The sequence below is a fragment of the Homo sapiens genome, chromosome 10, assembly GCF_000001405.40.
Source record: "Homo sapiens chromosome 10, GRCh38.p14 Primary Assembly".
Lineage (NCBI taxonomy): Eukaryota > Metazoa > Chordata > Mammalia > Primates > Hominidae > Homo > Homo sapiens.
This window is the reverse complement of record NC_000010.11, coordinates 13,491,137-13,516,614: the sequence shown is the minus strand read 5'-3', so window position 1 is coordinate 13,516,614 and position 25,478 is coordinate 13,491,137. Positions and strand designations below refer to the sequence as shown.

Below are 25,478 nucleotides of genomic sequence, written 5' to 3'. Positions count from 1 at the left end.
AGCTGGGACTATAGGCACGTGCCACCACGCCTGGCTAGTTTTTGTATTTTTAGTGGAGACGGGGTTTCACCATGTTGGCCAGGCAGGTCTTGAACTCCCGACTTCAAGCGATCTGCCTGCCTTGGCCTCCCAAACTGCTGGAATTACCAGCGTGAGCCACCGCGCCCAGCCTGTTTTCTATTTTAATAGGTAGCAGTCTCCCTCCTTTAAAGTCTAACTCTGAAATAGGATGCACTCCTGTGCCCCTGTGTGTCACCAGCCTCCGCGCCACCCCGGGCCTCGCAGACTCACATGGCACAAGGGACAGCACCCCTGGAATCTTGCAACACCAGGGCCCTGGCATGTGCTCTGCCGGCCTCTTTGCCTAGAGTGACCTCGACTACCTTTGCCTCCGTGATCTTTTATTTATCCTTCCAGTCTCAGTTTGAATTCCTTCAGGGCAAGACTCTGAGTGTCCAATGCTGTATTCCTACTGTAGTATTCCTTGGTGCAGAGTAGACTCTTAATAACTATTCTTGAATAAATGAATGAGTTCCGTGTTAAACCATGTTAAAAGGTAATGTGCCTCCAGTTATCAGTAGATCAGAGTGAGACGATTGATTGAGATGAGGCCGTTTCCTTGTGCAGGCTTGTCCCATGCGGCGCATGAGGTCTTCATCCCACTCTCCACATGTTGGCAGCGTAAACGTACACCATTGTTGATAGCACCCCGTCTACACCATTGTGTCCGTCAAATGCACTCTCTATGAATGTAAGCTACAGCATGGTCCTTGGCAGGCCAGGGTTGTGGGATCAGTCATCCTGAAGGCAATTTGACTTTAAACAGGAAAAAAACTATTCCATTGCCATCAACTGAACACACCACCCTCGTCCATTGTCTCACAGATGCCAGGATGAAGGGGGAGCGGATGAGAGGCTGTGCTGAACATTTTGGCCGCGTGACCATAGTTAGGAGAGAGAGGTCAAAGGGCACATTCCACTGGGGGTCAGGTTACTGTGCCTCATTTCTCTACAAAGGATAGCTTATTGCACGCATATTTCATAATATGTTTTCAAATCATTACAAAGTTGAGAGACATTTTCTTTCAGTATTCCATACAACCAATATCCTTGTAAATAAGAATCTATAAAATTGTTTTCTTGGTATTGCATGTTTTTCAAACATGCAGAAATATACTGTTATTCAGATTCCAAGGGGTTTACAATGTTTTTTACTTGAAATCAAATTTTATATCTGAAAGGTTAATGGAGAAAACTAATTATACTGCTATCTGGTAACCAAATGTGTGATGAGACATTTGTCTCTGTAATTAACAGCAAGGAACTTTTATAGTTCCATAAAATCGAATGCTACATAGAGTATTCTGCGAGCATTTGTTTGGCTGAGGTGTCCAAAACAGAGATGTTTATGGATGATATAAACTTGAGCTGAAATGTAATGCAGGTGTCTGTGTCTCTCGCAGCATTTCTCATTGTTGAAATGGAAGCCAAAAGATTAATACCTTTACATTATCATGATAAAATAAGTGATGTGTTCTTGGAACAGTGGAACGCTACATAAGTTACTCAGTGATTCCAAGAATTTATTCTGTTCCAGGAATAATATCCTTAACAATTTATTTTTATAGAAAAAGTTGATGCAATAGAATAGACTATGAAGTTGCTTGCATGGTGAATGGAATTATATCTCAAGTATGACTTTACACCTACATAGGAAATGTAAAGAACCCCACAGAAGCGCAAGGTTCAGGTACCTTTTAAAAGTAAAAAGTCAGGAGATGCAAAAGTAAGGTTCCTCTGTTGCATTAACTCATTCTCATTGCACATAGATAATTTTTTCAATTACTAGCAAGACTTTAATGGGTACCTTAATATGCACAGCATGCAATGTGCCTGAGGAGTTGCTGCAGGAATATTAGCTTTAGCGTTTCTCTACAAGTTCAGTGTTCCTCTTCTTAACTCTCCGCTGGGAGGGAGATCCTGGTGCCGGCACACGGTAGAGCAGGGTGGCCCACGTCCGACCCAACTTCCCTGGTTTACTTGATCATTCTGGACAGGCAGCTTTGTCTTCCCATTTGTCGAGGCAGGGGCAACTGAATTTCCCACACGTCATCTGCAATGAACTGGAAAGAAGATGGAGATGAGACATGTCCCTCGGGGAAGGCTTTCATGGGAAGATGTGGCCGAATTTAGGCACCAAATGGCTTCTGCTTGCCACCCCGCTGCACACTCTACAGAAAGAAGGAGAACTGCACGGATGCCTCCGATGTGGGTTTATCTCTTGCACATCAGTGGTGGTGGTTTTCCGTCAGCTTTCCTCAACCGTATCTTCTCGTCATATCTGTTATTAGAATTGACGTTAATATATTCCTATTGTAGATATTTATTGAAGCCAGTAGGCCAGGCTGGGAGGTTGTAGAACCCACTAGGTTGTGATAAGAGAAATTAAGGATTCTGTGGGAACATGGGACAGGAGCCCTCCCAGGCCTGGGGAATTAAGGAATACGGCCCTTGAGAAAATGAAACTGAGACCTGAAGGGCCAATGTGGTGTTGGGGCTGAGGACACAGAAGGGGTGGCATGTGGGGACCAGCTTCTGAGATACAGGAAAAGGCCTTTGGCAGGGCCAGGGCTGCACAGACAGTCGCTTCTTGGATTCTGATTGAATTGTCTTGAATAGAGTCCCGGGCACTTTTATTTTTTAAAAGTTGCCCCAGTGGTTCTCATGTGCAGCCAGACCCAAGAGCCAGATGCCACCATAGAATAGGAGAAATGTGGCAGGAGCCAGGGCTGGAGCAACAGCAAGGAGGCCCAGCCTCTCGGGGAGCTGCAGCTCCATCCTGGGGATATTGGCACTCCATGGAGGTCCGCAGTGTAATTCGATTTGCATTTTTGAAAGATCACTCTAGCTTCAGGGTGGAGTAGAATGGGAGGGGAGCAATCCTGAAGGCTTGTGGCAGTAGCCCCATGGAGTGATACCAAGAATGGGGTGGTGGTGGGGAGAAGCAGTAGAATTCTAAAGTAATTTAGAAGTTACAAGAAGCAGGACTTGGTGACGAATCAGCTGTGGGAGGGAGGGGAGGAGGAATAACTCCTAGGTTTTTGGCTCAGACAGCTGAGTTGGCCCATGTACTAAGGCTAGGGGATGGTCGTGATAAAATAACATTTTTAGACATGATGTTAAGGTTGCTTTTGAGATGTCCAAGTGAGGCTATCTGGTAAGCAATTGGATGTATGGCTCTGGAGCCCTGAGGTGGAATCTGGGCTGGAGTCCTCTTGTGCAGGTAGTCAGTGGAGCCAGGAGAGAGGACGGTGAATCCAGGAAGAGCATGGAGGACGAGAAGACTGCCTAGGCCAGCGTCCTAAAACTGTGGACACTGAAGGCAATGTTTTGCACACCAGTGGTTGTGACCTGTAAGTAGGTCATGATATCAATTTAGTGGATTGTCACCGACACTACAACAGTAACAATAGCAATAAGAAGAAGAAGAAAGAAATAGAGTAGAATAGAAAACATCAAAGTACACTGCATGCAGGAAAGACAGATTCCTCACACTGTTGTTAAGAGTTGTGTGCATGGTATACATATCTGTATGTGCGTTCTAGGTCATCATGAAAAATGTATTTTTTGCTGTGAACCATGGTCAGAAAAGTTTGGAAGACACTGATTTAAGTTACTGTTGCCTTAGCCCCAGAGATTTCCCACGAGACTCACTCAGGGAAGGCTGCCATTCTCCAGGTCCCTTGGGGCCCAAGTTATCCAAATCCCTTGAGATCCTTGGAAGAAAAAGCCATTGTGAATGTGATCTGTTTGTCATCATTATTAATAATATGTACATTGAAAATGAAATTGTGCAATAGCATGTGTGTTTAACTCAGAATATTTTAAAAATTTAAATGACTGAAGAAATATAATCCAGATCGTACTTAATGATGTTCATACTTAACTGATCCATGAGGTAGATGTGGAATTAACATCTCAGGAAGGAGGGGAGATTTGCATTTCTGTGTCAAGACTCTCTTAGAAGTTTTCTGTACAGGAGAGCAGAGGATCAGCATTTCAACTTACATTGAAAAGGGCGTCTCTTTGCAAATAGTAAATTGTGAACATTTTCTTGTTGAATGAAGGCAAGACTTGTGTTACTGTAGGAATTCAGAAGCAGCTCTTAATCTACAGTCTTGTTCTATTTTTCCTAGGTGTATTGTCAGCCTTTGGAGACTTTTGCTGTGTGTTTCATAGAATCGTGAACACAGACTTTTATTTCGCTTTTCTGAAGTTTTCATCTTTGGCTTTTGTAGAACTAACAGGCTTCACATGGACCAAGTTTCCAGTTTGTTTTTTTCTAAGAGACAGGATCTCGCTATGTTGTCCAGGCTGGAGTGCAGAGGCTGTTAACAGGCGTGGTTGTAGCATACTGCAGCCTTAAACTTCTGGGCTCAAGTGATCCTCCTGCCTCAGCCTCCCAAGTACAAATTTCCAACTTAAAAGGAAATAGCCTCATTCTTCTTAATTTGGAGCAGTGCAACTAAGTCAGAATCTGTAAAGATGGTTTGGTCCAGTGATTTCCTTGTTTCCACCCTGTGTGCTAACATTCCTAGGTAGTTAAGGTACCAGCTAGTTCACACGGCACCCACGTCTTGTTGTGACAGCTCCCTGGACACCGGCTTGATAGTCTCATGAATGGAGTCCTTCCTGCCATTCAGCTAGTTCCTTGAGCAGCTTAGTAGAGGAGTGTAGCACAGGGACCCAGAAGCCTGATGCATCCAATGCAGATCTCTCACCTCACAGTCTCTGCATCTCCTGGGTAAAATGTATACGCCAGTGCTCGAACCTCTTAGCTTGGTGTCAGGATTCAATGTAGGCAGGGTGCTTACCAGAGGCCTGGTACATACTAAGTGCTCTGTAAGTGGTATTCATAGCTTTAACACTCTTTCCCTTAAATACATCCAAATTCCTTTTAAGGATATATGACTTGTAATGAGTTTCAAGAGAAAGTGGCCTTAGCATGTATTCCAGGGATTACAAAACGTGCCACACCCCAGCATCTCCCTGCTTGACTTTTCTTGCTGCCGTCTAGCTGCTGCTGAGTCAGTCGTTCCTGCCCAATTTCACTGTGATGTTTTCAGGTCCACAGCTACATCTACCAGTTGCCTTATACCCAGCTTGAGAATACCACAAAGAAAAGTTTGTAAATAATTCTTCTAGATCATTTTTCCTTCGAAACAGTCATATATATTCATTTTGAAACCATTTTTTAAACAATTTATAAAGCCAAAAACAAAATAAAAAGTAAAAGATCTCAGCTGGTCTGAAGTTAGTTAGTTACCTCAATTGATTGTTCACAGTGAGTTGTAGGTCAAACTCCTTCTACTGTTTCCCCTTCTCACTAATACACTTGACTAGTTATTTGGGGTTTTGGGATTGTTGTTTTTTTTGAGACAGAGTCTCACTCTGTTGCCCAGGCTGGAGTGCAGTGGCGGGATCTCAGCTCACAGCAACCTCCGCCTTCTGGGTTCAAGCGATTCTCCTGCCTCAGCTTCCTGAGCAGCTGGGATTACAGGTGCCTACCATCACACCCAGCTAATTTTCGTATTTTTTAAGTAGGGATGGGGTTTCACCATGTTGGCCAGGCTGGCCTTGAACACCTGACCTCAAGTGATCCGTCCACCTCAGCCTCCCAAAGTGCTGGGATTATAGGCGTGAGCCACTGTGCCCGGCCCTTGACTAGTTTGTTTTTTTTTTTAAATCCAATCACACTCTCCAGTGATAACCACTATTACCAATAGAGGTGTGTGTGAAATGTGTGTGTGTGTCACAGAAAAAGAAAATAGAATTATGCTATTTAACATGTTGCAACTTTTTTCACTTAACCTAATCTTTATTTATTTCATCCATATTGACTGCCTATTTGGAACCAGGCAGATTTAGCCCCTAGTTATCCTGTAGCGAATGAGATGATCATGATTTCCTTTCTTGAAGCTAATAATTTGTCTTTCACATAATTCCAAATGACTCTAGAAGGGTCTATTTCACTCTTTATAGATATGAAATGATATAATTTCGTTGTACTGCTGTACCATAATTCATTTATCTAATGTTCTGTTGATAAATGTTTACATTGTTCCCAATATTTCCCTTGTAAAATGATGCCGTAGTGAATATTCATAGGTAGTTGTTGGAATATTTCTGTAGCATAAATTTTGGTAAGTGGAATTCCCATATTCTGCCCCAAAAAGGTTTTGCCAAATTACATCCCTACCAACAGCCTATGAGAGTTACTGTGACCCTCAACTATCACCAAAAATGGGCTTTTTGAATCTATAATTACATAGAAAGGAAAAGAATTTTATGTTAATTTTCATTACATTAATAATTAGGGAGATAAGATACTTAAAATATTTATTGATCATTTTTTTCTTCTTGTGAATTACATGTTCATGTCCTTTGCCCATTTTTCCATCATTAGTATTCATCATCTTCTTTATTGATTTATAAGACCTTTTCCATGCATTTCAGATTTAACTCTTTGACTTGATTATTCTTGAATATTACTTGAAGTGGTGGTTTCAGACTTTGTTGCTTAATGTTAGATGCAGTTACTCATCAGGGAACACTGGACAGCCATGCTATATTGATTATAAAATAAAACTTTGCTTTCCACAATGTAAGAGCATTTGGAGGAGAAATAAGTAGACAAAAATCTTTGAATTCACTGAGTAGTTCTAACTGTGTCCTATCGCTCTTACAAAAACCTTCATTGATCTCCTGTCACTTTGAGGATGAAGTCAAAGTGTCAGGGTCCTTTCGTTTTTGACTTTGCCCCATTCATTGCCTTAACTCCAGCTAAGTTCGCTGATTCGCCATTGCCCACTTCACTTCTCTCTGCCCTCAAGCTTCGTTCAGTGCCGTTCTCTTTTCTCCTCCCCAAAGTGCGCGTGGAAATGCTGGTGTTGTTTATTGACCACCTCCAGTCTTGCCATCTTTGTGAGGCGTAGTCCTCCCAGGGTAAAGTGATCTCTTTTTCTCTCTGTAATTCCTGAAACACTTGTCACATGATTTCTAAGGCATTGATCATGCGTTCCCTCAGTTTTGTCTGTTCAGTCACGGACACCGTAACTGTGCTCCTGGGAAGTGTAGCTGGCGATGCTGAAGAGCCTGACTCACAGGCACCAGCCCTTGCCTCTGGGATGGACCAGCCCACCCACCCCTGGCCTTGCTTTTCAGCTGGCAAACATGTAACTGTGGGTGCCCAGTGCTGGGGCCCAGGGTCCGTAGGAAGCTGCACATCTTGGTGGATAGAAGATTGTTTTAAAATTAAATGCAAAAACAAAGAGAGTATAGGACAGTACTTGCATTCAGTTTTTAAGAGAAAACATAAGGACATCTAAGAAAATTGTTTGTTCCTTATTCCCCTCCTAGGACTCTGTCCCCAAACTTCTCATAGATACTTACTCTCCTTTGGCTTTCTGTGTTCTTTGAGGGAAAAGTTTGAGAAGCCGTGTGATAGCTCATTTTGCACAGCTGTTTCTTGCTTCATTTCCTGGTATTTCTTTGCTCTTTTTGACCCTAACTGCCCATCTCAAGCCCTTTGTGCCTTTTTGGCTTTCAGTACCTGTTTTCCCACTAGGATCCTTGGCGTTCCTTCTTGGTACCTGTCCTGGCTTCACATCTTCAGCCATGATTACAAAGTGCTCCTGTCCCCTGGCTGGGGTTGACCGCCGTGCCGCTTAGGCCTGCCCGTCGATCAGAAGAGTGCCATTATACTCTTAGAGCTGTGTACACACTCTTTTGTTTCCTGTGCTAGGCTGTAAACTCCTGAAGGGAAGAGACTGTGTATTACATTTTTTTTTCGGTCACATTGTGTCTCATAATTTAGTAGTAGTACAGTAAATATTTATTAAGTGGATAAGTGAACCTGATAGTATCTCAACAGATTTAAAAGGGTCTTAGCTATCCTTTAAATGTAAATGCCATGTATACATTGGGCTGCTTAATTATTTTCTATCTGTAGTTCTCAGCTGAACAGGACCCTCAAGCACGTGGAGATATATTTGTGTCTAGATACTCCTTTTCATGGTATTTGATTCATCCAATTAAATGATTCTATGGCCACTTTTTGGTCTTTCCTTTTCCGTGGCATTCAGCCTATGCAGTGTGGAGCCCTTGGAGTTCTTGAGCATCTTCCAAGGGCGGCTTCAGGAATCGGGTTCTGGCGCAGTCTCCTCAGCAGAGCTTTGCTCTTCTTTATTTATTGGGGTTCCACTTTAGATTGCACTTGGGAAAAAAAGGACTTGTTTGGAAAACCACCACCCTGTTCCATAGACTGATGCTTTTCACACTGTTTTTTGCTGAGTTCGACTCCCAGTCTTGTGTGTCCCTCATAAACATGGCTGTTGTCCCTGCAGGCTGCCAGCTGGGACCTTGATGGCATCTGCATGTTAATGGGGTCTGGAAAGAGGTGCCAGCCTCAGGTCCTCAAAGCACAGGGTCTGTTTCAGATTCCTCTTCTTTCAGCTCACTTGTGGAGGTTGTGCAGAGAGCTGCCCGCAAGCCTGAAGGCCCTGGCTCCGTGCTCCCACCTGTCTCCCATTTGACAGGCCGCCCATCAGTCTATCCACAGCATGGCTCCATGCCAACCTCTATGAGTTTTTAAGAGGAAATATTTTGGACCATATAGTATAATCCTGGTCATCTTATTATTTCTCACTGATAAACTCTTTCTCTTTAACATGCCATTACCTGCCCCCTAAAAAATGCAAGGAGTTTTAAAGCATTTTTCTTTAAAATACGTTCACAGTGTTGTGCAACCACCTCCAGAGCTTTTTCATCACCACAAACAGAGATGCATTCTCATTGTCACCTCTCCTGCAGATGCTTCTGCACTGCTTCTGGTATTTACAAACTGGAAAGTCCAGCTCTTTAAGATCATCTGTGGCCTCACCTTCAGGCTGGAAGCTGCATTTTCAGTTCATTGTTTTTCTTTTTGATAAAGAACAATGTCCTACCCATAATACTGTGTAGTATATTTAGAGATAATTAAGTCACTCAGTGGCCATTTATTAGTGAAAGAACCCAGCCCCCCTTCATCTTTCCTTGTTCCTTAATCTGTTCAATTGGCTTTTTCATTATCTCCTCAAGTTTCTCAATGGCCTCTTTAACATAGGACAAAACGGGACATGATAGTGTAATAGTGTAGCGGTAGGATTGGACCCCATTTCTTTCAGACGCCCTGTGTCCATTCTGCTCAGGTAAGTCACCGAACGTGACATCCCTGAGTGATGGGTTTGAGACTGGCGCGGGGAGAGAGAGTCAGTCAGTTCTGATCAAGAGGATAGTTGCCTCAGGGGTTGGGAATTCTGGAGGGATAGGTTTGACTCACTTTACCAGCTTGGAATCATATGAGGTCAGATCTTTTTAAATATCTACTAATAAATGAATGTTTTGAGTTCTTTACATGCTAGATTAGTAGAAGATCTAATATCTCTCTATAAGATGTCCTCCACCCCCTAAATTATCCATGACCCTCAGGGGCTTACTCAGTCCAGAGGGGCCAGCCTACTCGTGGATAAAACCAAAATATGGCTTCATGCTCAAACTCATGCACCCAGTAGCTGCGTTTCCCATTGCCTGCTTTTATCCAGATTTTCTTCATCGAAACTAGACTCCATATCTCCACTCCCTTGCATGCATGTTTTTCCAGTTCTCCTACTGGTGTTTATATCTATTCAGTGACCCAAGCTGGAAACCTTGGGGTTATCATTCATGGATTCTTCCCGCCTCCACCCCCAGCAAATCCAGCTAATCCCAAGCCCATTTGATTAAACTTCTTCAGTGTCTCTCTCTCTCTCTCCATCTCGCTCCATTTCCATCCTGAAAATCCTGGTAGACTGACGTTGCCATTCACAGAGCCTTCCGTGATAACATTCTAGCCAGGTTCCTCTATGCCATACCGGTTTCACCATAATTTTGCCAGAATTGTTTTTGTGTAGGATATATCTGATTATTTACTATCCTTATATGAAAAGAGACCTGAATCTTAAGTTACCCAGTGATAACCCATTGGCTCCAGTGTACAATTCTTCTGCCTTCACCCTGCATGTGGTGCCCTAGCAGGGTGGCCTCACTATGCGCTCCAGCTCCGTTGCCTGCCTCATCTCCTATGAATCTTAAACTCCTGGCTCGCAGAACTGCTGCTTGGGAAGAGGGATGCAAGGTAATACACCTCTGTGAGCTTCTTCCAGGGGTTAAAAGAGCCGTGTTTCGGGGAGCAAGAGGAAAGCCAGGTTCTCCTCTGCAGCCTCAAAGGAAGGGAGAATGAATAATTTTCATGCGGGGCCAACAGGGAAGGCAGGATCCACAGGGAAGAGGCGGGTCTAGCTCTAGCAAGGAAGCAGAGCGTGCCATCTGCAAACAGGGGGGCAGTTTACCAAGTAGAGTTCCAGGGCACACAGTTAAAAGAGGCAGGGGTCAGTGGGCCGGGAAAACCAGGACCATTATTTGGAGCAAGAGATCAATATAAAAGGATTCAGGTAAGAGATGTTGAGAGAGTTGGGGTACCTTTCAATTTGTACCCGATGATCTTTGTATCTCTGGAGCCTAGGAGGTGCTTGATAAATATTTGTCAAATAATTTATTTCTGATACGTTTTCAGTCTTCCCTGTTATTTGTTTACTATCTTAGTGTTGCGTTCTGGACTTCATTCTGTTTTTGATAAGCAGGGTTTTTTTAATTACTTAAGAAAGGTTTATGGAACGCCTGCTGTACATTAGCACTGGTACATTTGTAGGGCACAGACAGGGTGACTGTTACCAGGAATTTTCCTAATAAGGAGGCATATAGATGGGCACACATGCAACTGCTCTGTTTTGGATGGAACTCTTTGAGTTTCATTATTAACTTAACTGATAGCATTGTCCTCAGCAGCCACCAGAGGCCCGGACAAGTGCCAGCAAGAGATCCACAAGCACAGGTCCCTTTGGGGCAGGCTCCCAGTCAGGGGTCGGACTGTGGGCCTTTAATGGCACAAGCACAGTGTGAGAGTTTAAGAAGTTTTAGTACTTATGGACCCCGGGGAGGGTAGCACACCCCTGGAGGCCACACACACGCAGGCCAGAGCGGGTGTCTGCCCCATGTGGCCTGGCAGGGGAGAGAAAGGAACCCATGGCCAGTACCTTTATTGGGTCCAGAGCGTTATCCACACAGGTTTCCTGTAGGGAGCTGTAATTCATGGGCTGAAAGCAAGCAGGCAGGGGTTGCAGGAGGTCACTCAGCGACTGAGAGGGAGTTACTGTGGCATATCTGCACAGTCCACGTGGGGTGCAAGGGCCAGCAGGCTGCATCTAGCTGTCCTGTAGGGAGGTGGTCACCAGGCAGCAGTTGTATAAAGCTGATGTCTGGATCGACCACACTGAGGAACCGGGAGTGCAGCGAATAGAACTGGAAACTGTCAAGGGTGACAGAGCCTTGCTTCTGGAATGAAAAACTCCCACTTATATTTAAAATGGATGCCAAGGCAACACAAAATGATGAGCATTCGCTGCACTCTCTCTCAGTTTGTTTGTTACCATCTTTTATCGTGATTACCTGTGAATAATCGTGTTCCACGTAGTGGATCCTTCCCTCCTAGCCAAGTTAAGGGCAACCTTGTGTGTTGACTTCTGTGTTGCCCTCACATGTATCAGATCCTGCAAGACTATGTGTCATAAATTCTTTGCGTAAAGGAACGTGATCTAGTAGAGTCTTGAAATTTAGTGAGGGGGAGAATCCAGCATACAATCTTTTTAGATCTTGTCCAAGGAGTATAGTTACTAAACTCCAAAGGATTTCAGGCTGCCAATAAGGTAGTCACGTGGCATGGATCCATTTTAGTAAGATTCCTTTGTGTTTGTTTTTCTGAAAAGGATTCAGCGTCTTGGAAAGAGATCAGGAAAAATGCACAGGTTTCCTTATAGCATCCTGTCTCGCTAGAGAGCTCGTTGCTCCAAAGAGCTTCCTTTTCCTGGTATCTATACCTGGAGAAGTCATTGACTAATGATAACTGGAAATACCAGTAGAAGTCAGTGAATGCTTCCAATCTCAATCTCCTGTATACTTTTCACCAATTTTTTTTTTTATCAAAGAACTTGGATTCCACTATGATAGAAGAAGCCTGTCTTCCGAAAAGGACTTCTAGAGCCACAAAGTGCTTGGTTAACACCTTGGTGATGGTGAAAATCCTGTGCCCCTCCTGGACTACCATGTGCCCCTCCCCGGGTTAGGGTTCAGACTCTTGCTTTAGGATTTAGGAAACCAGAGAATATTCAGTGGCTTGGCTAGTATCCAGTAGCAGGTGGGCGTAGTTAGGAGGCGAGACCAGGTGTGGGTGTAATAGCCCAGCCTGTCCTGTCCCACACTAACACTGCACCACACTCAACGAGCTTCTACGGCTCGGCCTGCTCATCTGCTCCCAGCACCCACTGTCCCCAGATTATTTAGGTTGACTCAGCTTCTTTGTCATTGTCACTTGGAGTCTTCAGGCCTCGTTTCTGATCCTCTGCCCCACCTGCCCCAAATGTGCAAGGAAACCTCTTTCTTCCTGTCTGCCAAAGCCTGTCACTCATCATTCCCTGCTGTGGAGTAGAGCCCCAGGACTCCCTCCTCCTAGGCAGCAGCTGCAGGGGTGACCTGCTCAGCTGCTTCTGCTGCTTTGGGTGAAGAGAGTGTGACTCAGTAAACCCCAGAGACCATTCCTGAACGTCCCGTCATCTCCCCTAAGAAACTTTCCACACTCTGCCCTTCTTCAACCTTCCCTGCCGACTCTCAGCTCACCTCTCAGCTCTCCTCTCAGCACAGACTTCTGCAGTTACTGCAGTTTTCTGTGTTCCATCCTTTTAGTTGTTGTTTGTTTGTTTGTTTGTTTGTTTTGAGATGGAGTCTCACCCTGTTGCCCAGGCTGGAGTGCAGTGGCACAACCTTGGCTCACTGCAACCTCCGCCTCCCAGGTTCAAGTGATTCTCCTGCCTCAGCCTCCGAGTAGCTGGAACTACAGGCGCGCGCTGCCACGCCCAGCTAACTTTTGTGTTTTTAGTAGAGACAGGCTTTCACCATGTTGGCCAGGCTGGTCTCAAATTCCAGATCTCGGGTGATCCACCCACGTCAGCCTCCCAAAGTGCTGGGATTACAGGTGTGAGCCACTGTGCCATCCTTTAAAGGATGTGTTCCATCCTTTAAAACATGCCACAGTGAGCTAGGCCGTGAGCTTACTTCCTCTGAGGAGGGACCTGCTTCTGGCCTTCTGCCCTCTTCCTTTCAGCACTGTTTCTTCCTCCTCAGTCCCCCGACGTCCTGATTTTTTGTGTATTTGTTTCGTTTTGTTTTGCCTTTGGGAGACATGTTTCTGCACACGGCAGGCGCAGCCCACCGCCAGAACCCCTCACACCTGCCACCTTCCTCCCTCATTGCCACCTGCAGCTTAGGATGCTGGTTGTCAAAATGAAAATACAAAGTTATGCAAAACTCAGGTTGTATTTTCAGCCATGTACTTTTCATAGGCATAAGTTCTGGAACTCTGAAACTGAGGTCATGACAAAGCAGATTTGCCCTCAGAAGGTTCCAGAATCCTTGTGACGCCTTCCTGTTGCTAATGGTAGCACTGTATCTATCCTAGCATTATATCTACAGAGCAGAGGCAGGACCTTTGGCAGGAGACACATCCCTTCTCCTGTGATGTGTCAGTTAGTGTAGAGAAGCAAGCTGGCATGGACTTGAGAGCCGGGGTGGGTATCTGCCCCATGTGGCCTGGCTATGGCTGCTCTGTTCAGGGAGCCTGGGGTCAGGGGTGGCGGCCACCAACCTGTGCCAGAGAAGGCTAGTCTCTGCATGGACTTCAGTGCAGGCATACCCGGCCTGATGGGGAGGGCTGTGGGTGGAAACCACACAGAAAAGATGCCTCCTCTTGCTTGAATTGTGGTGTTAACTAGCCGGGAACGTATGTGTCTGGTTGCTGAAATTAATACCGCATTTGCCTGTGGGCTTATCTTTCAGGATTCCTTTGGGACCTCTTCCAGACACACCCTGTTCCGTAGCCTCTCGAGAAAGTAGTAAATTTTGCTGACTCTGCGTTATTGAAATCTCGCTTGGTCGTTCATTCTCATAAAATCTGGAATATGATTTATTGTTTATATATTGTAATTTTCACAGGGGTTTGAAGTAGAAATAGTTTTATCTCAAATTAGAATATTTCTCCTCTCAAGCATATGCCAACAACACATAGCAATATTGTAAATTTGGAAATCTGTGTTATTTCCGTGTTCACTCATGTTCAATTAGACAGAATTAATATATTCTGTAATGTTTTTAGTATCATTTTTAAAAACTAAAGATATTTACTTCAAAATAGTGAACAGTAAATTCAAAATAAACTTCCTTATTTAGTAACATAACACATATATTAATAAGCTAAATATCTAACTGGAAAGCACAAAACGGCTAGGTTATTGTGCAGTTACCAGTTCTACAGAGAAACCTGGCTTATCCTAAGTGCAATCATTATGTTGATCCATATATATATATACATATCCTTATATATACATATATTGATCATTATAATTGATCCTAAGTGCAATCATTATATTGAATGTGCTGTGTGTATTTGTAGGAGCTGTATTTTTCTTAACAGATGCTGTCTGTTAGCCTTTTCTTTATCTTACAGTTTAAATTTCAAGCATTTATTAGAGTAACTGCATGAATGTTTACACACACATACCCTGGCCTAAGATTTTTTTTTTTTTTGAGACAGGGTCTGCCACTATCACCCAGGCTGAAGTGCAGTGGCACAATCTCGGCTCGCTGCAACCTCTGCCTCCGGGGCTCAAGCAGTCCTTCCACCTCAGCCTCCAAGTAGCTGGGACCACAGGCACACACCACCATGCTGGGCTAACTTTTGTACTTTTTGTAGAGACGGGGTTTCTCCATATTGCCCAGGCTGGTCGCAAACTCCTGAGCTCAAATGACCCTCCCATCTCAGCCTCCCGAAGGGCTGGGATTACACGTGTGAGCCACCATGCCCAACAGTGGCCTAAGATTTTATCTTTTGGGTTTGAGAAAAAAAAATTCATTTCTCTTCATCTTTATGAAGATACTGGCTGATGCACAGTTTAAGAAGATAGTGTGTTTGAAATAGCTCCTAACAGATATCAGCATCCTCTGATATTATTATTGATAGAAAATATTTTCTTTTTCTTTTTTTTTTTTTTTTTTTTTGAGATGGAGTTTCACTCTTGTTGCCTAGGCTGGAATGCAATGGTGCCATCTTGGCTCACCACAACTTCTACCTCCTGGGTGAGCCGGGTTCTCCTGGCTCAGCCTTGTGAGTAGCTGGGATTACAGGCATGTGCCACCACGCCTGGCTAATTTTGTATTTTCAGTAGAGACAGGGTTTCTCCATGTTGGTCAGGCTGGTCTCGAACTCCCGACCTCAGGTGATCTACCCGCCTCGGCCTCCCAAAGTGCTGGGATTACAGGCGTGAGCCACTGTGCCCGGCCAAAAAGATTTTCTATCTGTGCAATATTACAGACATCTTTAATATTTATTAAGTACTCCCAGTGCAGTATAGAAGTTCTTTCATTTTAAAAAAATGTCCTGAGACGGGAGAAAAATCTTAAAAAAAGAAGTCAGTGTAGGTGAAGTGGGATTTCAAAGTGGCCTGTGACCTTTCGCACACAGTTACGCTGCAGGGGAGGTGGCAGTGCGTTTGGCATGGGAGGAGGGCACGGTGGGGAGGTTGCACTTCCGCCCTTCCAGTGCTGGTACCGCCAGTGACCTCGAGTGGCAGGGACCCCTCGGTCATCACCAGGCTGATGTGATGGGAGTCAGAGTGCCAGAAAGACAAAACCCCCTCGCTTGCCATGCTGCCACACTCGGCGCCTCTCTGTCTCCTCGGCCGTCCTCTCTGAAGGTGATGTCTCCAGCGGCAGCGTGTCATCCTGGAGGACATTGTGTCAGCAGTGAAGCCCTGCATCCCTGCCAGTCATCCTGAAGGACATTGTGTCAGTAGTGAAGCCCTGCGTCCCTGCCAGTCCAGGCTTTCTTCCTTGTCCTTGCCCCGCCTGGTGAAGCTGACAGACAGTGAGCAGAGCGCTTTAGTGACCTGCCCATTCCTCACGGGTGGCTGTGGCCCATCAGAGCAGAGGGGTTCCGCGGTCCAGTTCTATCCTTGACCTTCTGTCTCAGCCTGTTTCCTCATCACCTACTCATTCAGAAAATGCTTCCAAAGAGGGAATGTCATGTTTGTTCCTGATGACACACTCTCAAGAAACCTCTTTCATCATAAGCGACTTGCAGAAAGAGATTAAAATGAGAGGCACCAGGAATAGGATGGGTTTTTTCAGACCGTAGTCAGTTTTCCTGCCTTTGCGTTTTACAGATTAAGTTCATAGAGTCAGTCATCTTTCCCATTTCCAAAGAAGGGTTGTTTTTCTTTCTCTTCTTTTTGGTTAGTGAACTGTTTTCTCTTTCACTAATTTAGAGTGCTAACTTTGGCCCTGTTTCCATTAGGAGATGAAAGCATGGAAATAAAAAAGCAAATTACAGGGATGAGAAGATTGCTGAACGACAGCACTGGGCGGATCTATCAGCGAGTTGGCAAAGAAGGAGAGAAACTAAAAGAAGAGCCCCAGGACCTGGATTTAGTCTGGCCTCCACGTTTGAACTCCTCTGCTGAGGCCCCGCAAAGCCTCCACCCGTCTTCACGTGGTGTGTGGAATGAGCTACCGCCCCAGAGTGGACAGTTCTCAGGGCAGTATGGCACCCGTTCTAGAACCTTCCAAAGCCAGCCCCACCCTACCACGAGCTCCAATGGTATGGTTGTCAACAAACATTCAGAAGGCTCTCATGGGGGTTTGTACTGTTCTATTTCTAAATATTCAGTGTGTTGAGTTCAATTTATTAAACCCTCCCATAATTACCTGCCTTTGCTGAGTTACTTTAAAAGACAGGGAGACACAAAGGAAAGAGTTGAAGACTATTAAAAAACAGAATTGAGAATTAGGAAAGACAGGGGGTTCTATGTTATAAGTGAAGATTTCCTGGTAGAGATTTTAGCCCTTTAAGAGGTTAAAGCGATCATTTTGTGCCCATGTATGGATATTATTGTCACAAAAAAAACCTGAACATTAGGGCAGAAAGAGCTCCCCACTGTCTTTAAAAGAAGCTTCCTGGTCCTATGGTGTGTTACTAACATATCCTCTTGGTTACTCCTTCACCTTACTCATTATCAGAAGAGTCCCAGATAAAGGCGGGGGCGGACAGGGGTGGGGGGCCGATAACCCAGCATCCCACGTCAGTACTGAACCCAGTGATCCATATTTTGTAACATGCTTCATTAGCAATGGAAAGTATTCCTTTAAAGTAAAATTTTCTTAATTTAAGTTTCCTAATTGTTAAGAAAAGAATCAAATGACAATTTTTTTTCAAAGCTTAAGGAGAAAAACCTGATGCTTTTTGTGGTCATATTAGTTTTCTATCCGGCCACACTGGATGCTATAATATTTGTTCTATAAACTCTGTAGAGATGTGCAGATCTATAGTTTTCACAAAGAGAACAAGAAAAAGGTAAGAAAGCATTTTCAGTTTCCTTAAGAAGTTAAGGATTTTTTTCCATTCATTTTCATTTCACAATATCCTTCAAGAAAAAGAGAACTGTTTTGACTTTTTTTAAAAACACAATTTGTGGTTCAGAGGCATGAAAAGCCATCCTGAGACATTGATGAGACAGCGAAGGACCCCAGAAATGTATGGGTGTCTTCTCTGCCTCTCAGTAGTACATAAGCCAGTATCAAAGTTCCAATGCTGGCATGCCTCCAGGTTAGAGGGACACAGCTCTTTAAAGACTCCTCCATAAAAATAAAAAGTCAGTTCTCTTTAAAATTAGAAAATGATTTATAACAAGCTGAAAAGGGTTGGTTTTGTCTTCTAAAAATGATAAAAGATGGTACTTAGAATAGTGACTAGAAATATTCTTTAAGACCTTTCTAACTCTACTACCATGGAAGAGACAATAAGAGAAATAAAATACCCTTAGGTATGTATGAAGTTAATAAACCCCACATCAGTAAGTTTTGGGTGAACAGTGTTCTGTTTCCCAGTATACAGTAGGGACAGTGGATTTACTTTGAAAAGTATGAAGTTAGTAAAAGTTACAAACATAAATTCCCCCATATCAGTTTGAAAATAGATATTTTATGTTTTCAATAGAAATATGGCTAGGCGTGGTGGCTCGTGCCTGTAGTCCTAACGCTTTGGGAGGCCGAGATGAGTGGATTGCTTGAGGCCAGGAGTTCGAGACCAGCCTGGCCAACATGGCGAAACCCCATCACTACTAAAAAATACAAAAATTAGCCGGGCGTGGTAGCGCATGCATGTAGTCCCAGCTACTTGGGGGGCTGAGGCATGAGAAGCGCTTGAGCCTGGGAGGCAGGGGTTGCAGTGAACCAAGATCATACCAGTGCACTCCAGCCTGTGCAGCAGAGCGAGACCCTGTCTCAAAAAAAAAAAAAAAAAAAAAAGAAAAAGAAATATATTACATATAACTGTGACTACTTTGGTATTTCATTGGGATTATTTATAATTTTAAAGTTGTAACATTACAATTTTGCTACAATTTTGAATGTAAATAATTGTACCACTACAATCACTAAGTTATCCTGAAGTATTTCATGGTTTTGCTCTGGTGAATTTTTCTATAGTATTCCTAAATAATGCATATTACAGGATTTAAGGTATATAAAGTATAATAAAACATATAATTGGAACAAAACCATGGAACTTACCTTGCTGGCCTGTGAGACAATGTGAGCGCTGGAAGTCTCTAAACTGCTCCATTTTATGGTGGTCAGGTGAACAGGTGCTGGAGGGAACCCACTGTAAGAGCAATGTCCAAATGTCCCATTTTATTCTAAGGACAATAGAAGATACTTGCTTACCTATGAGAGAAACAGAATAAGATAGGTTTACCAAGGAAAAGGCATTAAATTTAAACAGTGCAAAAGAGGCTGTGGCAAGGGAAAGATAAGACATGGGAATGGAGAAAAGAGGTAGAGAGATTTTCTTTGTGAAGCTGAAGAAAAGCCAGCCAGCCCACCAATACCCTCGAACGCATCCAATTCGAATATATCCTCCCATCCCTGCTCCTCTGTGCTTCCCCACCCCAAACGCCACACCCAGAGAGTATTCTAAAAGTTTTCATGTGTGCACAGTTCTTTGTTTTTGAAATAATGTGCTTAATATCAAAACTATTTTCAATAGAACTCATATAATTTTTAATATGAACTCTTAAACACAGCTACCAAATTTTTTTTGCAAGGCTGTCCTCAGGGCTCCTTTTTTGTGTGAACTAGCATGAGTGTGTTTCGAGTGAGTTTTTGAGGTGTTGTTATTTGAGATGAACAGCTCTGACAATAGGGAGGCCTGCTGTGCCCACTCATTGTGTGTGTGTGTGCATGCGGGCTCCCGCACCGCGCCACAGCACGCACGTTACAGTATGGAAGCCTGGATAATTAGATAAAGTCAGACCCCCAGATTTAGGTTGTGATAATTAGTGGGTACGTTTTCCTTAGGCACAGCTTCATCATAATTGCACATGCTTCAAAATCCTGCCAAGATACTTTCTTTTTTCTCTCCACCTCTTTATGATTTTTTTTTTTTTTTTTGGTTTGTTTGGAGTATGTCATTCTTTTCTTTCATGCTCAGGAGAACTTCCAGTGGTGAATTCATCAGCTGGATCAAACTGCTGTACTTGTAACTGCCAGTCAACGTTGCAGGCCATTCTACAAGAACTCAAGACCATGAGGAAATTAATGCAAATTCAAGCAGGTACAAGGATCAGGCCTCGGAATGAGTCCTTTGATTTTTAATGCATATCTGACATCTTCCGTTGGAATGTTCATTGTGCTTTTATTAAAGCCTTCTTCTCACCTTGCTGTCTTGCTGTGCCTTTTCAAGTATCTGTTTTTTCAGCTTTCTCTACAATCCATTTTTCCTTTAGCAAATCAAACATATTTTGTCTTGCTACTGATACAGCTCATATAATTATGTGTATGTACTCGATAGACTTCATTCCATGATCTCCTAGTACTTCACAAATGTCAGTTAATTAAATTTGGGAACAACTGTGTATGGAGGGGTCCTTTAGGAAGCATGGGCTTCAGTGTTCAAGCACTAAGCAGATAAGAAATGTGGAGCCCCAGGCTATGCTTTGTGGCTTTTCTCTCTCCTATTCAGGATGCGGAAGCTCAGAAATCCGCCGTGTTCTGTCGTCTTTGTTTATGTGACTCCTTTTTGTTTTCACTGCCATCAGGCAAGTTGAGGGACGGAAGAGCAGTGGATTTGTAATTTGGGATTGGATGCCAATTTCTGCTTTTGGAGCTGTGTGGCGCATCTGAGCTTCCTATTTCACGTCTGTAAATGGAGAATTCATATCTAACTCACAGGGCTGTTGTCAAAATAGAATGATGTAGTAGCTGTCAATGAACTTTATAAGGCATGGTACAAGCCTAAGCTGTTTCATTAGTGTGGTCTTAAAGTCCATGAAGCGTTCTATAGAAGTCTGGAAGTCTACGTCTTCATTATAGCAGCTGTATTTTCTGATCTTCACAATTGAGGGAAAACAGAATTGTTTTTGTCACAGGTACAAGAAATAAATCATTGTATTAAGTTTTCCCTCTTGTCAAGGGACATCACCACTTGATCTAAGCCATGTCGTGACTGGCTTTCCTGCCCTTTCATCAGGATGGTAGTCCGGAAGGTCGTCACTCAGAAGCTGTTCAGGATGCCATTTAGTGAATTCTAGTATAATTTTAATATTCAGTGATGTGGTTTTGATATAAAAAGCTTAATTAATACTTAGATATATCAGTCACCCAAGATCACATTAAAGTAATGTGAGCTACTTTCTGAAAAACAGCATCTTTTTATTTGAGATGGAGTTTCACTCTTGTTGCCCAGGCTGGAGTGCAATGGCATGATCTCGGCTCACCGAAACCTCTACCTCCCAGGTTCAAGCGATTCTCCTGCCTCAGCCTCCCTAGTAGCTGGGATTACAGGCATGTGCCACCACGCCTGGCTAATTTTTGTATTTTTAGTAGAGATGGGGTTTCTCCATGTTGGTCAGGCTGGTCTCAAACTCCCGACCTCAGGTGATCTGCCCGCCTCAGCCTCCCAAAGTGCTGGGATTACAGGCGTGAGCCACCGCGCCGGGCTAAACAGCATCTTTTTAAGCACTGAATTTGGTTTTACCCCAAGGAAGTATTTTGCTCAGGTCAGTAAGCATTGGACTCACCTTGTTCCACTACGATAATCTGTGTTCTTATTAACCTGGAGGAGGTTAACATCTCCTAAATAAGGAGCTCAGAAAGAAAGGTTACTTTATGATGTTCGGATTCTTTTCTCCGAGGAGGAATTTGTTAGCACTTAAGAAAATATGCATATGAAATTGTAATGATTTGTTTTGTCACTTAAGCTCCTTACTACTGAAATGGCAAACTACAAATTGCAACCATTTAAATCCTTGACGGAAGCCTTTTTAGAATCTATTAAGTAAATGCCACTTTGTCGCTATGTTTTCTTTTCTGAACCTTTGCAGATTAGGGAGGTAAACGATTCCAAAGCTGTAGGATGGCACAAAGGATAAACTGAATAAATTACTCTCCTTTAATTTTCTTAAACTTAAAAATTTGTGTCATGTGGGTAGATTTACTTAAGGTTTAATGCCTGAAGACTTAGATTTAAATTACATTTAGAAAGTTTCACCTTTCTTTTAAGAAGACAGGGAATAAGACCTAGAGGTAAGATCTGGATGCCAGAGACTTGGGCTGTGTCTAGATTTGCAAAAGGAGAAGAAAAACTCAGATAGTCCCCGTGTTCCTTAAACCAAAACATTTTCATTTCTAATTGAGAATCATGAGGCTTAGCAAGGCCTGGGGCCTAGACCATCGTGATCATTATTCGAGGTCCCTTTGATTCTGAGGGTGCAGACCCAGCCTTGAGGGGGAATGCAGAGAGACCAAAGAGAAGTTCCCAACTCTGGCTGCACAGCAGAATCACTGGAAGAGCTTTCAGACAATGCTGTTTCCCAGGCAGCATGCCTGGAGGTGTCAGTTCACTTCGTCTGGGGTGGGGCTGAGGCATTTCAGTTTTTTTGTTTGTTTGTTTTTGTTTTTGTTTTGAGACATAGTCTCACTCTGTCGCCAGGCTGGAGTGCAGTGGCGTAATCTCGGCTCACTGCAACCTCCGCCTCCTGGGTTCAAGTGATTCTCCTGCCTCAGCCTCTCAAGTAGCTGGGACTACAGGTGCCCACCACCATGCCCAGCTAATTTTTGTATTTTTAGTAGAGACGGGGTTTCACCATGTTGGCCAGGATGGTCTCGATCTCTTGACCTCGTGATCCGCCCACCTCGGCCTCCCAAAGTGCTGGGATTACAGGGGTGAGCCACCATGCCTGGCCCGGCATCTCAGTTTTTTTAAACTCAAGTGATTCTAATGTACAACCAAGGTTGAGAACCATTGAGCTAGACTAATTACTGGTTTAAAAACTTCTGTGCTCTTATGTAGTGCAATTAGTTTGCTTCTAATATTTATGAATTGCTTTTGAATTTGGAGACAAAAATATCAGGATCAAAGTGTAAATATTCTTTATTTTCAGACTGATAAGAGGTAAGAGGAGGTGATTCATGTTTATATGCCTTTAAAGACCTTTAGTTTTCACTTGTCTTATAGGTTCATTTCTGTTGAAAAGCAGGGACATCCTATAGTCATATTTAGGAAGCTATATTAATACTTGAGGATTTAAACAATGATGCCATGTTTTCCAATTACACTTTCCAAGAGAGTATTTTTAAATGGCTAGCAAACATAACTTCTCAGAGTGCACCTGTGAGAACTGTAATTTACCATCCTGGATTTCTTTAAGTATAGAATCAGGTTGAATACTTGGTTCCTGTACTGTGCTTTTCATGTTTGGAACTGTTTCTAGATTTCACTGATTTGCTTGACTTGTACAGAATGATATTGCTCCTTCAGTTATGTGAAACCGAGGTCTAGAGAAGTAGCCTGGTCTGAGGCCATGTAGCAGGGTGCTCTGGAGGTGGTTGATGTGTGGAGAATATTTGTTTGGTGAGGAAGGATTCACTGGTCCTAATTAAGTAACTAATAGGCTTTTCCCACATGCTTACTGGTCCCTAATGTAGAATCATCCCAGACGGCTTCTTTTGATCAGTCTTGCGCAAATGATCATCACTGTCTCATCTTTATCAGTTTTGGCACCTGTAGATTATTAGGAACGGATCAGTCTAACCCCAAATGTAATCCTGAAACAGGATTACAAGGAAGCACAGCCGTCTCTATCTAAATTTAAATCCCGAAGTTCTCATTTATTTAAAAACATCCTATGATTTATAAAGCCATGCTCAGGTGTTTTCTCACAGCTCATGATCCTTTCCCTGCATTGAACCCAACAGCAGTATGCTGTCACGATTCACCTGCAGTAACGCTTTCTCCTGAGTATTTTTCTGCCTTTAGGACTTGAAAGTGCTTCAGAGCCTGCGTTTGGTAACCTTTAGGTCCAGTTGGAGATTTATTTAGTGTGCTTCATCCTGGAGTTTTCCTCGTTTCGGTTTCAGTTTGTAGATCACATGGATAGACCGGAGATAAGTTTTCCTAAGTCAGACACACGTGCCTGTACCATATTTTTGTTTATTATTCGCAGTTGGAACTCAAAACAGACAACAACCTCCAATTTCCCTTATATGCTCCCAGCGAACTGCTGTCTCACGAAAGAGAAATAAAAAGAAAAAAGTGCCCCCAAAGACTGTGGAACCTCTTACTGTGAAACAGAAGCCCAGTGGGTCAGAGATGGAGAAAAAGTCGGTGGTGGCCTCTGAGCTATCTGCTCTCCAGGCAGCCGAGCACACCTCCCCGGAGGAGAGCCGCGTTCTAGGATTCGGCATTGTTCTGGAATCACCTTCCTCAGATGTAAGTTGCCATTTTCTGGCTGCTGACTCTAATGCTATGTAACTTTTGGGAATTTTATAGTATTTATAGATTTCCCTTTTGACAACTAGAGAAACTTGCAGACTATATGTGGGAAAGAAGAAAAGAAGACTGGTAATAATTTTCTTGTCTGGAGTTTTCTTTTCTGAAAATGTGATGCCTTATTTATTTAGACAGGTTTCCAGTTTTTGTCTCCGAAAGGAGGAGGGTGATGGCGTAAATAATCTGCTCACTAATTTCTTTTGCATTTTTAATTTTGCAGTGACAATTTTCAATTTCCTTAGTGTAGAGACCTAAAAGAATATAATTAAATCCTTTGTAGATGGGCATAAATGAACAGGGCCATACAGATAAGATCGCACCTTTCTGGAAACACAAACTAATAATAAAAAAGGAGCAGTCATGCTAATTCTATTTTATAGATGCAAGCCACACCACTAATTAGGTGGCAGCGCCATGCCATTTACTCCGTGTAATGATAGGTTAAGGCTCTGCAAAGGTTTTTCTATTTTAATATCACAGCCAGAATGTTGCCGCAGTCCAGAATGTTGGATGACATCCGAGATAACCATCTGACTTGCTATTTTACATTCATAGGACCATAAACGAATGTGTTTAATAGTGCACTATATTTGCAATTGCATTTCTATTTACAATGTCTTTCTCTAAGTATGTTTGTGTTGTGAACCTTAACTTGTTGGGAGAGTTCTTAAAATAAACAAGAATGGGGGATCTGTTCTTATCAGATTGCATAGGACGAGAATCCTGCTGCGAACTCCCGCAGGCCTGTATAGGATTGGAGGTTGGCCATACCTTTTAAACTTTAAGTAGGAAACAAATTGCTTTTTAAAAAAGTTTTAAAAATTTTGAAAGAAATTGTGGGAAGACAGTTTGCTAGGGTATATCCACATTGGGTTTTTAACAAAGGGAGGGGACAAAAATCATCATCTTGTGACTTTTTTAGATTGGAAAGTTGTTGGAACTTTTACCTAATTCTCGGTGTTAAAGGTTCTTTTTTTTTTTTGAAATCTATAAACACTTGCTACAATTGTTAAGAAGTTCATCTAGTCTAAAAATTTAATTTTAAAACATCATTAATGATGATAACGTTCTATGCTGGACCAGTCAGCTCATGCAATGATATCATATTGCTATTGCAACTAGGGCCCTGAGTCAAACCCCAGGTAGATCACATATTCGGAAACAGAGGTAAATTATTCCTCAACACAAAGTACATTCAGTCCTTAAATTTTCTAAGCATTTTTTTTTTTTTTTTTTTTTAGACAGAGTCTCGCTGTGTCGCCCAGGCTAGAGTGTAGTGGCATGATCTCCACTCACTGCAACCTCCGCCTCTTGGGTTCAAGCAATTCTCCTACCTCAGCCTCCTGAGTAGCTGGGACTGCAGGTACTTGCCACCACCCCCGGCTAATGAAAACTCAGTTAGCTGTTGATTGTC

At 43.1% G+C, this 25,478-nt stretch overlaps 1 protein-coding gene across 48 annotated transcripts in view; it reads left to right on the top strand.

Moving 5' to 3' along the window:
• Positions 1-25,478, top strand: part of BEND7 (BEN domain containing 7) — a 91,154-nt gene that overhangs the window by 13,020 nt on the left and 52,656 nt on the right. For 32 of the 48 annotated variants that reach the window (XR_930476.3, XR_002956970.2, XR_002956969.2 and 29 more), the window contains 3 exons: positions 16,535-16,876; positions 19,727-19,849; positions 23,739-24,004. Coding sequence is in view for 41 of the 48 variants with exons in the window: in XM_047424786.1 (XP_047280742.1) it covers positions 16,535-16,876; positions 19,727-19,849; positions 23,739-24,004 (731 nt within the window). In the remaining 7 variants the exon portion in view is untranslated. Of the gene's footprint in view, positions 1-13,021; positions 13,755-15,935; positions 16,106-16,534; positions 16,877-19,726; positions 19,850-23,738; positions 24,005-25,478 lie in introns of those variants that run through there. The other 16 variants (XM_011519392.3, XM_005252402.6, XM_047424801.1 and 13 more) reach the window with 6 other exon arrangements.